This window comes from Homo sapiens, chromosome 7, assembly GCF_000001405.40.
Source record: "Homo sapiens chromosome 7, GRCh38.p14 Primary Assembly".
Classification (NCBI taxonomy): Eukaryota; Metazoa; Chordata; class Mammalia; order Primates; family Hominidae; genus Homo; species Homo sapiens.
Genome location: NC_000007.14, coordinates 113,100,433 through 113,114,306, shown reverse-complemented (window position 1 = coordinate 113,114,306; position 13,874 = coordinate 113,100,433). Strand labels below are relative to the sequence as shown.

At 37.7% G+C, this 13,874-nt stretch overlaps 1 protein-coding gene across 2 annotated transcripts in view; it reads right to left on the bottom strand.

Annotated features, from left to right (window-relative positions):
• The window catches only part of LOC107986837 (uncharacterized), a 45,778-nt gene extending 32,135 nt beyond the window's left edge, over positions 1-13,643 (bottom strand). For both annotated transcript variants that reach the window (XM_047421162.1, XM_047421161.1), the window contains exons 1-2: positions 13,422-13,643; positions 6,508-6,552 (exon numbers count right to left, since the gene is read on the bottom strand). In XM_047421162.1, coding sequence (XP_047277118.1) covers positions 6,508-6,552; positions 13,422-13,488 — 112 coding nt within the window. In that variant the 5' untranslated portion in view covers positions 13,489-13,643. The remainder of the gene's footprint in view (positions 1-6,507; positions 6,553-13,421) is intronic.
• Positions 13,644-13,874: the final 231 nt, after the last annotated feature.

Sequence of the window (13,874 nt, the reverse complement as noted above, 5' to 3'; positions counted from 1 at the left end):
GTATTATATTTAAAAGGCTGTGGCTCTTATTTAAATTTTGTATTTTAACATTCCTCTGACACCACTCCTTCGTAGAAAGGGAGGATGCCTCCTCCTTCCTGCCAGATGCAGGTGGAAGCCTCATGACTGCTCCTCCTATACCCTCCACTGACACTGGTGATAGGTTGCCTTGTTACCACCAGGTGGGAGTGGAGTCCAGGCTACCCACATGGTCTTCATGGGTACCAGCGTAGAAGAGGGAGGTTCTTACTATCAACTGGTGAGGATGAAAGTGCCAGCTCCCCACCCAGCCTTCTGTGATACCTCAGTGGGGAGCCTGGAACATCTACAGCCTGGTGAAAGTGGAGGTCTTGGCACTCCACTCAACCTTTGCTGATGGTGGAAGTGGGGCTACAATTCTAAAAGTTTTCTGTTTCACTAAGCTACACCTTTCCTATACCTTTAAATACTAGAGAGAATAGTCTTGTTTGGTTTCCCACCCCCCCACCCTTTTTTTTTTTCGGTCTAAGCCCGTTGGCCTTTCTGTGCTACCAACTTCTCCAGTTCTCAATCTGAAACAGGAAGAAAAAAAAAAAAAACCAGCTAACTCACCACTTTGTTGTTCCTTTGCTCTTGAGGTACCCAGCTGTTGTGCCTTCTTTCTGCCTTTCAGAATCCTATGTTTGTTTTATACATAATGTCCAGGGTTTTTAGCTATATTTAGTGGGAGGAAAAGGAAAAAAGATGTCTACTCCATCTTTCTAGAAGTATAAGTCTTGGTGCATATTTAAAGAGGGAATTTTCTGAGCTACTCCAGAGATGGAGAGATAAAACACCAGGAAAGTGATTACTTCAAGGTATTTTACTCACAGACTTTTGTCCCGTCATCTCCCACATCCACCTTCCCCTCTTCACCCATCCAGCATATTGTTTATTCCTACCTTAACCCAACAGTCTCAACTAGGGAGTGAGACTAACCATCAAGAAATGCAGGGACGTAGATGAAGTTTGAGAAAATGGGCTGTATTCATATTTTGTCTCAGCATTGAGACTGCAAGTGGGAGCTTCTTGAAAAACTGATGTGATACCAATTGTGCCAACTAGCCAGGTCCAGGAAATCTCAGAAGCTACACCTCACATGCACCTGTGTCCTGCTGGGCTTTCTAGCTCTGTACCAGCTTATCAAATGCCATTTCCAACCTTGGATATAGGAATGGTAATGCAGCTATATAGCCTGCAGCACATAATGAATGGAGGAGAATTTTCTGCATATGACCCATCTCCCAGCCAGCGACTCTCATAACAGTCTCTTCAGTGGTACTATAATAGAGGCTAAGGGTCCAAGCTGTGGAATTTAACAGACGTCTCTCCAAGAATTAAAATGTCATAATGGGCAAGTCACTTATTTTCTCTTAAATTGCTATCTCCTGTCTGTTAATTGGATGTAATAATAGTATTTCTCCACTCCACCTCCTAGGTAGATGAGAAATATCTAAGGTAGTGTATGTGGAAGGGTTGGCTTGCTGTATGTTATTATTTTTAGGAGTATTTAGAGATATTTCCTAAAGAGAAGGGGGAAGAAACTTTACAAGCATCAATTTTGAATTTTTAAAGAGGATATCTTAAAAGTTATATGAACAAATCCTATATCAAACTTTAATTTTAATTTTGACATTTTCCCAAGTCCTAACAGGCCCTTGAAGATGATACTCAGTCTTTGTTTTTTCTTATTATAGTCCTTCCCAACACACACAATTCTAGCTTACAAACTGATAAAGCTCAAAGACACCTGTGAAGAAAAGAAAATTCGACTACCCTAAAATTTTTTTAAATCTTCTGGTTTGTACCTCATGCTTTCGAAGGGGAAAAAAAGGAAAGAAAATAATTGATTATTTTTTAATGATTCTTAATACGTTAACCATGGGTTCCTTCCTAGGTAGCATAACAGAAGGTTAGCAGCAACTGCCCAGGTCATTTAAGGAGAGGCAAGGAATTTGGTTTTTCCTGTTCAGGAAAATAGCAGATCTGGTCCATATTCCACCAAGAAAAATACTTACAAATCTCATCTCATTAGAAGTCATGAAATTATAAACTACATATAATGTGTTTAATGTTTGTTTCCTATGGTGGGGAGTAGAGAGGAAGCCCTTATCTTGATTTACTAATCCCAGACATGATTTTCACTCATAGGTGAAAATGGGGCCAAATCAATAAATAAATTTGCAGAATAGCATGTTTATTTTTTTTCTAATTTTCAGTAACTTCATTTTTCTAAATACTTTCTATAACTGACTAATATACATCTAACATCTAAATGCAAAATGCAGAAGACCAGAAAAATATATGATTGCTGCAAAAAAAAGATAATGTCGTTTAATTTCTCATTGATTTATAAGTATCAGAGCTAAAGTACTCTTCTCACATATTTCCACTGGATCCATTTTATGTGGGTGATTAAAATTTTGAAAATATTAGTTGGCACTTCATAATATGAAATGAAATTATGAAATTTTATATACAAGAGGGTTAATTATTTTTAAAGGGCTAATCATGTAGCACTTTGTTAAACACAGGGATTATAAATACTGTATTTCTCAATATTAATCAAGATAATTATGCTCTGTTTAAATGTGCGTAAATCACTTAACAAAAGAATTTAGAAGCAGGCATGAGCACCAAGAGCAGAAACTATACCATTTTCTATTTCAGATTATTTGTCACAACAACCCTTTCATTCTGCCACAAAAATTACCAGGGCATTTCAATACCAACATGAAACAGTTTTATAGCCCCTGAGATGGCATGTGCTTAACTTTAACTTGTTTACTCAACAGTTTTTGAGAAATAACCAGTACTCTTTAGAAATAAAAATATTTATCAACTATCAGGCAAATGATCTTGAGCCAATAATTTAACCTCCACAACTTTTTCATCTGTAAAATTTTTTGTCAGTAATTTCTAAGAGGTTTCCTATTGATAGAATTTTGTGGCTTCATAAGGATTTTCCTAATTTCAAAAATAATAAGGTATAATGTGTTAAAAATATTGTAATTATCCATTTTCAGTTGGCAGCAGTGAGGAGCTGATTTTTTCTTCGAACTCCTCAGTGACAGTAGTCTAGTCATTTGGTACATTTTGGATTTCAATTCGGTGAAGCAGGGAGGGGCAGCTCATTTTCTGTACTGAACAAGTGTGATTAGGGATTGTCTCAAGAAGGAAGAATGAAAACAAACCATGGCCCTGCCACTCTCACTCACAGCAAACAGCCCACCTGCTAATTGATGTTGACCTGGCTCTATTCAGGAATAAACAACCTTTTGGTTTCATAGGCTTGGTCTTTTCTGGCATCACCAGTGAGACTCAGGTCATAGATACCATCTTCCCAGTGACCAAGACAGACACTTGAGAGGATGGGTGGCACACATCACACTCCCCGTCTGATGTATCTTTTAAGTCCTGTGGAATCCACCTCCAAATTATCCCTACGATTCGCCCACTTCTCTCCATCCCTGTGGCTCCTACCCATGTAGACCATCATGAGGACGTGGATGACATCCGCAGCACCCCCCAGCTGGTCTTCCAGCCTCCTGTATTAGTCTGTTCTCACACTGCTGTAAAGAACTACCTCAGACTAGGTAATTCATGAAGAAAAGAGGTTTAATTGACAGTTCTGTAGGCTGTACCAGAAGCATGGATGGGAGGCCTCAGGAAACTTACAGTCAAGGCAGAAAATGAATGGGAAGCAAGCACGGCTTACCATGGTGGAGCAGGAGAGAGAAAAATAGTAAATGAGGAAGCGCTACACACTTTTAAATGACCAGATCTCATGAGAACTCACTATCATGAGAACAGCAAGAGGGAAATCCGCCCCTATGATCCAATCACCTCCCACCAAGTCCCTCCCCCAACTGGGGATTACAATTCAACATGAGATTTGACTGGGGACACAGAGCCAAACAATATCACCTCCCATCTTACCCCTCTGCAATCTTTTCTAAACACAACTGTGGTAAACTTCATAAAACAAATCTGATCCCATCTCAAAACTGTTTAAGGGATTTCCTGTTTTTATGAATTTTTTAACCTTAAGAAAGCACTGTGTGATCTGCCCATATTCCCTCCCCTTATTTCTCCAGTCTCATCTATGTCTGTGATCCCTAACCTACCTTGCATTAAACTTTTTTCTCTTTCTAGAAAGCACCAGGTGAGTTCTCTCTCTTCCTCTCTTCTTCCTTTTACCTTCTACTTCTTCCTTCTCCTTCCTCCTCTCACTGTCTGTTATTCTCCTCACTTCTCCCCCACTCTGTGTCTGCATGGTTCTTTCTCTGCCTGGGGTAGTTTTTCCAGTTCACCTAGCTTATTCCTGTCTCTTTAGGCTTGAACCACACTTTTTTAGGACAACTTCCCTGACCTGTCTGAGTCACATACCCCACTGTATGCTCACATAGCATTCTTCACCTCTCTTAACAGGTACATATCACGCTGTACTGGAATTTCTGTTACTTATCTTTATCTCTAAACACCCTCACCCCTGTCTCAGGATTCTAAGCTCTGTGAGTGCACACACTGAGTCTCTAATTCATTGTATTTCTGCTTCCAGCATAACTCCTGGCATGTAGAATTTGCTCACCCAATTCTTATAGACTAATTTGTGATATAAAGTTAATGTAGCCCAGGATCCACAGTGGATCATGACATCCCCCAGTGAGCCTGGCTGTGCCCACACTGTCATCAGTACAGCTCTCCCAACCTTTCAGATGTTGCATGGGACAGGCCTGAGATTCTTTGTGATATGTATCATTTTCTTGGACATTAAATTATATTTATAAAACATGATTTTAATAAATATTAAGATATAGGCTAGTTAGTTGAGTTAAATGATTATATATACTATTTATAAAAGCTTGCATTGTATGGACATATTTAATGATCTGTATAACATTTAGTTCAGAAATGATTCATCATTTTGAATGATGAACCATAGGATGATCTTCTCCTTTGCCCTCTCTCGTTCTCTTACTCATACTATACTCCAGCAACAACAGACTGCCTGCATTGGCAAAATCAAATGTCTTGCCATGCTTTCATGCTCATGGAACATTTACAAATGTTGTTTTCTTCATGAAACCTTTTCAAAAAGGAGTTAATGATATCCATCCTCCAGAGTTCACAGTGCATTGTTTTTACCTGTTTTCATTCAACCCTTTTTCACCACTAGCCCTACTGTCCCCTCCCTTCCCATTCACCCCCATATCTGTTGCCTATATCATAAATTTGTTAAAATCAAATTGTGTCTTTTTATCATTGCAAGTACTAACACAGTCAGCTAAAAGAGGTTTCAATAAATATTTGTGCATTAAATTTAGTTCCTAAAACATCCTGAAGAACAGATTAATAGAGTAGCATTGAATAAACAAGTCTATATGCTGACAGAGGTATAATATTAAAGCAATATTATTGCTTTTTAATAACACCGCAGGTTTGGAGCTTCCGTTTTACATACAGTGTTACCTCTGCCTTTCTGAAAGCTGTTGGCAACTCAGATTTACTCTAAGTGTTATCCATTGGAAAATATCCATTATGAAGTAATCACAAGACAGTTTTCAACATATTGCAGTCTTAGAGAATGCTATCACAGGTGATCTCAAAGCCCACATTTCATTCAGCTGAAGGCTGTATCAGAAAAAAAGGGGAAAAAAAGGAAAGAAAAGATACCCAGAGCCCAAACTACTTCTTCATTTTCAAAGATGGCTCTCAAATATAGCCTCAAATAGAATTCCACTTCTCACCCTCAGTCACGGCGAATGGATTATAGAATAGCCAATCCATGATTCCACTCTGCTGTTGTGTTGGGGCTTCCACCCAGGCCCTATGACTTTCTGAAATCCATTCAGTGTCTAGGTATGATTGAAGGTACAAGAAACATTAAAAGTCACTTTTTAGAAATCAACTGCTTCATTCAAATGTTTTGGCCTCTTAAAAAATAGTCTTAGAGAAAAGTGGACTTTATTGATGCTGCCATTATTTAAAGCATATTTGGAATTCATATTTGGAATATGGCATGCCCTTTCAAATACTTCCAATAAAAAGAAGTCTTCATGTTTGAGCACTTGGCTTTTGGAATGAGCCAGAAGCAATTCAGAGCTGAGCCCTGTATGTGAATGAGGTGAGTGAGAAATAGAGCAACCACTCGTGAGCTAATTATCCAATTGAAAGAGAGCTCTGAGCTTCATTTATACCTAGATTCTAAGGACTGGGGAGTTTAAATTACTTGGAGAGGTAAAATTACATCATTTGATAAAATAAATGGTGACTTCAAAGTAACAAAAAATTTTTTTCTGTAACTTATAAACCAAATTAAATGGTTATTACACTATCTAATGTATTGCTTTTTAACTAAAAAAATCATAACATTAGATAATTAGTATATATGGTAATGATATATAGATGACATTAGATAATGATATGGTATATATGGTAATGATATATAGATAACATTAGATAATATCAGAATGACCCATACCTTACCTGTCCTCAGCAAAACTGTTTTCACTCTTCCAAGCCATCTTCCACCTGCATAAATTTAATGAAACTGGATTGGAACATGCATACCATTTTGTCTTCTAGTTTTGTTTGTCTGTTTAACATGTAAGTGTTTCACGGATATTTTAACAATCAAGTAATATTCTACCCCTTATATTTACCATTACTTATTCCAAAACAATACCTTTAATAATGCTGGACATGCCAATGGTATTTAACATCTTGTCATTATTGATAACACTATAATAAGCTTATTATAATACTATAATAAGCAAAATAGATAATTTCTACCAAGTACCAAAAATATATTCATATCCTTTGAACCTGTGGTTTCAGCCTAGAAATTGACTTCTGTATATTAATTCTTACATTATAATTCATCCGTTGCAAATATATACATAAAAATATATCTAATGTGTCTATTGTCCTGATCTTCTAAAGAAGCAAGTTTTCCAACATGGAGGATAACTGAGGTGACTATATACTACTGTACCAGAAATGCTAGAGGTCTGGGTTTATAAAAGACACTCTGAATTCTAGGTGTGGAAAGAAAAGTTTCTAACCCAGGAGAGAAAGTAACAAATCTCCTGTTAGAGAAAAAGTTCAGAGTCACTGTGCACTTTTATAATAAGCAGTTCATAAGAGGGATCAAAAAAAGACTCAGCATATTAAGTGAAAGAAGTATTATATGGTCTTCAATATTCATTTTCAAGATTATTCTTATTGTTTTCATAATTAAAATTAAAACATTATTTGTCCAGTGATCTCTACATTTTTTATTAGTGGTCCATACTAATGATAGCTATCAAGAAATATTATTAATTAAACATTATTACAATAATAAGTACCAAACCACACAAAGAAGTGTTTCTTTCCTCGGTGGTGTTGCAAAGTGACAGAAGTTTATGGCTATGAAAGTCTGTGACATAATTAAAAGAGCACTAAACAAGGAGTCAAAACCATATGAATCCTAGTTCTGGCTATGCTGCAAACAGGCTGTAGGGCACCAGCAGAATCACTCGCAAGTTATTTGGGGACTCATTTTCTTAAAGAAAAATATAAATAAGTAGAAATTGTGTACCCCAAACACATTCACTGCTGAGCACTTAAAACTAGAATTCCCCTTTGAAGGAAGATGAGCAAGGTGAAGGAAGGCTTAGGCAAACAGAATACCCAGAAGTGGGGCCAGCCTTGAAAAGCTACAGAAACAGTTTCCTGATAGATGACATGACTTAAGGAAAGCCATCAGGAAACATCCTAAACACAAATGCCTAAGTTCTATACACTCTCCAGTACTTTTGTGATACCTGATTAATGGTGCCTCTTCTGGGTCTTGCAGGCCTAGAGGTCTTCTGGCTCTTGATACTGAATGCTAATATGACTTTGGGGTCTACACATTAAACTAAAAATAAAAACCTCCAAATGGAACTCCAAAGTGGGATTAAACACCTGATATTGGGTTTAGAGAGAAGAATGAAGGATAAAATTACCAGAAGTGGGGAGAAGGGATGTGGATGGACAATGCACCAAAAATACATAGAAAATTATACCATGTGAGCAAAAGTTGGTCCTACCTAAAAGAAGTTTAAAGTTTTGCTTTATAGTTCATTAAATTAAACATGCCAGCCTAATAGCAATATTCTTAAAAATAGAAAACTTGTCCTTCCTGCTTTGCATTATTCTTGAACACCCAAGATAAAGCATTTAATACAATACACATTCAATAAACATTTGTAGTCTGACTTAAGAACTCTGTCCACAGAAAAAGCCCAAATGGTTTAGATGACAAAACAAAAGATATCATAGGAAAAAATATAATCTATTTCGGCAGCCTGACAAAAATTAAGTAGAATTAAAATAAAATTCAGATTAGAAGCATTACCATAAAAATATAAAATGAAAGCAAGGAAAGAGCACTCAAGCTTTTGTACAAAGATGGACATCTCCAGTTTGTTTATATTTTTGTTTTTTCCAGATAATGCTGGCATAAAGTGGTTGCTATAGCAGTTGTTTTATTTGTATAAATTTAAGGCGCACAAGTGCAGTTTTGTTAAATTGATACTTTGTATGGTGGTGAACCCCAGGCTTTTAGTGTTACCAATACCTGAATGATGTAAATTGTACCCAACAGATAATTTCTCATCCCTCAACTCCCTCTCATCCTCCCAACTTCTGGAGTCTCCAGTGGCTTTGATTCCGCTCTGTATGTTCATGTGTAGCTCCCACTTATAAGTGAGAACATGAGGTATTTGGCTTTCTGTTTCTGAGTCATTTCACTTAAGATAATGGCCTCCAGTTCCACCCATGCTGTTACAAAAGACATTTCTTTCTTTCCTATGGCTGAGTAGAATTCCATTATACACACACACACACACACACACACACACACACACCTTATTCCAACATGGAGGATATCTTGTATTTATATATATATATATAAATATATATAAATATATATAACTATATATAAATATATAGTTATAAATATATATAAATATATTTAAATATATAAAAATATATATTATATATATTTACATATATAAATATATTTAAATATATAAAAATATATATTATATATATTTATATATATAAATACAAGATATCCTCCATGTTGGAATAAGGTGTGTGTGTGTATATATGTGTGTGTGTATATGTGTATATATATATTTATATATATATTATATATTTTATATTTATATATTTTATATATATTTATATATATTTTATATATATATTTATATATACACACACATATTACATGCACGCACACACAACACATTTTCTTTATCCAATCATATTTTAATGGACACTTAGGTTGATTCCATGACTTGCTATTGTGGATAGTGCTGCCATCGATATATGAGTGCAGATGTCTTTTTTATATAATTTATTTTCCTTTGGGTAGATACCCCGTAGTGGGATTGCTGGATTGAATGGTAGTTCTGTTTTTAGTTATTTGAGAAATCTCCATACTGTTTTCCCTGGAGACTGTACAAGGAACTCAACTCAATAGCAACAACAACAACAAAAAACAACCTCATTAAAAAGTGGGCAAAGGACACGAGTAGACATTTTCCAAAAGAACATACAAATGGCCATCAAGGGTATGAAAAAATTCCCAGCATCACTAATCACCAAAGAAATGCAAATTAAAACCACAATGAGATATACAATGAGATACCATCATACACCAGTCAGGATGGCCATTATTAAAAAGTCAAAAAATAACAAATGTTGGTGATGATGAGGAGAAAAAGAAATGATTTTTTTTTTTTTTTTGAGACAGAGTCTCGCCCTGTCACCCAGGTTGGAGTGCAATGGCATGATCTCGGCTCACTGCAACCTCTGCCTCCCAGGTTCAAGCAATTCTCCTGCTTCAGCCTCCTGAGTAGCTGGGATTATAGGCATGCACCACCACGCCTGTCTGATTTGTGTGTGTGTGTGTGTGTGTGTGTCTTTAGTAGAGACAGGGTTTCACTATTTTGGCCAGGCTGGTCTTGAACTCCTGACCTCGTGATCTGCCCACCTCAGCCTCCTAAAGTGCTGGGATTACAGGCATGAGCCACTGCTTTTTACACTGTTGGTGGTAATGTAAATTAATACAATCTTTATAGTTTTTTTTTTGTTTTTTTTTTTTTTTGTAAATGACAGAACTCCCACTACAAAGAAAAGATCCCCCTCCCTCTTTGGGCTTCAGTATACTTGCATGACATGACTCAAAAATTAAAGGAAGGAAGGGGAGACGGAGGAAGAGAGGAAATTATTCTATTGAAGGAATCTGGTCATTTTAAAGATCTCTTACTACAATAAAAAATTTTATAGATAAAATGAATTTTTGCTTATGCTTTTGTGGTTAAAGCAAGAAAAAAATACATTTTTCCAGTTGAAATTCATGCCGCTTTAATTGAAGTTTTTCAGCTATACATAATCCTTCTTTATTTATCTGGCACATCCTCTCTGAGACTAAAACTTCCCCCCCACTCTTTATTGTCTGAACTCCCATCCCCAGTAAATTAATTCATTTGAATAGGTATTTGTTGAACAAGATATGGTTTCACTGAAATTAACTCACCAACAAAGGGGCTCTTGGAAGGAAAATAGAGTTGGACTGGGGAGGGAAAAAAGTGCAAGGGTAAAGAGAACTTCATATTCCTGTTCACTTGAAAAGACAGAAGGGCTGCCTGCACTTTCCTGCTCTACATCTCTACACTTGGTTCAACACTCCTGTTGTCCTACCCTTCCCAGCAGGCTATTGCCTCCGCTGTCTGAACCATGTTTGCGTCCTCCAAAATTCGTATGTTGAAATTCTAACTCTTAATGTGATTTTATTAGCAGGTGGAGACTTTGAGAGATGATTAAGGAGTGCCTAACCCTCATGAATGGGATTAGTGCCCTTATAAAAAGAGGAACAAGGGATCTCTCTCTCCCTCTCTCTCTCTCTCTCTCTCTCTCTCTCTCTCTCTCCTCTCTACCATGTGAGGACACAATGAGAAGACCACCTCTACAACCAGGGAGAGGGCCCTCACCACACGTTGAATCTGCCAGCATCTTGGTCTTGGACTTCCCAGGCTACAGAACTGTGAGAAATAAATTTCTGTTGTTTAGCCACCCCATCTGTGGTATTCTGTTATAGCAGCCCATCTAGCTCCCTCTGACTCTACCACTTCAAAACACACACACGCTCACACACACATACACACTTTTCTGATTTAGTAATAATAATGGTGTCAAACATTCACTGAGCATTTAATGTGCAAGTATTGTGCTAAATGTTTTACAAACCTAATTGTCCTCTTCAATCCTCACCATAAACCACAAGTTAAGTACTACTGTAACTGAAATGCAGGTTCACTCCCTCGCCACTTGCGGAGTCCAATTAACAAGAGCAAGGTCTGGTATTAAAAAAGTGACTTTTTAATTCCAAAGCTAGTTTAAAGGAAGAAGTACAGGCTTCCTGCCTTAATGTACTGCTTTGCTTTTGGAGCAGAAAGTGAGTGCTTTTAAAAGGGGATGTGGCATGAATGGCATGCAGGAGATGAAGCAAGCATATGGGAGTCCACTTAACTCTCTTCAGTGCTTTATCTACCGGGCAGTGAGTTGGCATCTTCATGGGCAGAACTAGGTTGTAAAAGTGTCCAGAACTCTCCAGGTGGGAGAGAGTTTCATAGTGGGCATACTTTGGATTGTAAATTAACTGTTATCTCTTGAAGCAACTTTATGGTAGGTGAGAGTTCTGTGCTGGAGCTTCTAAGCATATAGATGCAGTTGCCCTGTAAGGAGCGTCTGGTGAAGGGGAGGTAAAATGTTATAACTGCATTTCTAAAGAGCTAAGTGGGAAGTGGGGAGCAGGGGAAAATGGGGAAAGGAGAAAAATAATTAAAATAATAACTCATTCTGTTTTTTCTTAGAAAAATAGGGGTACTCAGTTACACTACTTTAGCTCAATATTACCCATGGAAAACTCAGGCACAAAAAGGATATGATCTCCCCAACATCACACAGCTAGCAAGTGGTAAAGTTTGAAACAAAGCTGTCTCCAGAGCTTGTGGATTTTTCTCCTTCCCATATGCATAAGCTTGGGGAGAGGGAAGGAAATCTTTGCCTGATCCTACCATCCAATTAAGCAATTTTCCAATTTTCTTTCCTTCAACCAGTCTACACCAACTGTTTATACATTGACTACTTGTTCCTTCTTCTCCTTCCTTTTAATTCATTCATCTCGTTATTCATTCATTTAGCTGTGTTAATATATCAGCTGCTGGAGATACAAGGATAGAAAAGCCATAGTACCTATTTTCAAGGTACTTATAACATAGAAGGAAGAGAAAGACCTTTACAAATACTACAAGGTATGATACATTGCATGCCATAAAAGATATATATATAAACACACTTATTGAAGTACCGAGAAGCAAACAGTTAACTGAATAAAGATGAAGCACTACCTGACTTTCTCTGTTACAAGAAGCACAGGTGAGAGGACCATTGAAAAGGCCTTTCCCTAATTCATTTATTTTGTGGCCTCCTCATGGACTTGACTCTGTTGATTATCTTCTTAGAACTACCTGCTTCTTTTGTCTTCTGTAGTATTGCATTGTCTTACCCATTTGTTCATGTAATGAGTATTTACTGAGCACCTATTCAATGTCAGACACTATTCTAGGCATTGGGAGTGCATAAACCACCTTTCTTTTTCTTTTTCTTTTTCTTTTAACAAGGTCTTGCTCTATAGCTCAGGCCAGAGTGCAATGGTGTGATCTTGGCTCACTGCAACCTCTGCCTCCTGGGCTTAAGGGATCCTCCCACCTCAGCCTCCTGAGTAGCTGGGACTACAGGCGTGCACCATCATACCCAGCCAAAAACATTTTATACACACACACACACATCAGTTGGTGATAGAAATACAAAGAAAAATAAAGCACAATAAGAAAAATAGAAAGGAATGGGTGGGGAGGGATGCTGTTTCACAGAGGTTAGGCAGGGAGGGTATCTCTGAGAAGGCGATATATCGGGAGAGAGCTGAAGGAAGTGAAGGATTGAGCCATGTGGCCGGCTGAAGGAAGTTTCCACACACAGAACAGCAGGTCCTGAGATGAAAGCATGCTTAGTATGTTCAAAGAACAGCAAAAAGTGAGGAAGATATCAAGTGTAAATGAGACCAGAAGGTTACCAGATCATGTAGGTCATGGCAGGGACTGAGGGTTTCTGGCAGAAAAGAAATACACTCTAATTTAATGTTCTAAGCAAATCACTTTTGCTCTTAGGAGAATAAACTCCACGTTGGAAAAGGTACCAGAGAGAGACCAACTTGGAGGCTGTTGCAATGGCTTTAGGAAAAGAAGGTGGTCATTTTGTCAAGGGAGCCAACAGGGACGGGCTGAGGATTGTTTTCCTCCTACCTCTCTGCGGCTCCTGTGCCATCTTCTTAACTCGTTTATCTTGCTCTTCTGATGTTTTAACATTCATTCATTTTTTGAGTCTTGGACCTTTGCCTTTTCTTCTCCCCATACTGTCTCTCTTAGAAAATTTGTCTGTCGCCAAGCTACCTCTTTCAGAGTATGGCCCCGGGGCTTCTCCTATGAGCAGACAATTTCCATTTGGCTGGCCCTGACTCTCTGTGTTCAAGTTTTAAGACAAACTAGTGCTAATAAATGATGCCATGTGATTGCATGGCTGTCACCTCATATTCATTTGCTAAAATTTAACTCATCTTCCTGTCAAACTGAATGCCTTGTCTGATTGTATGTGTGTCTGTGTGTGCGTGTGTATGTGTGTGTGTGTCCATCAATCTCCTAGCCAGCCAAGCTTGAACTTGTTCTACGCCCATCCTCAGCTATAATTCTGACCTACTT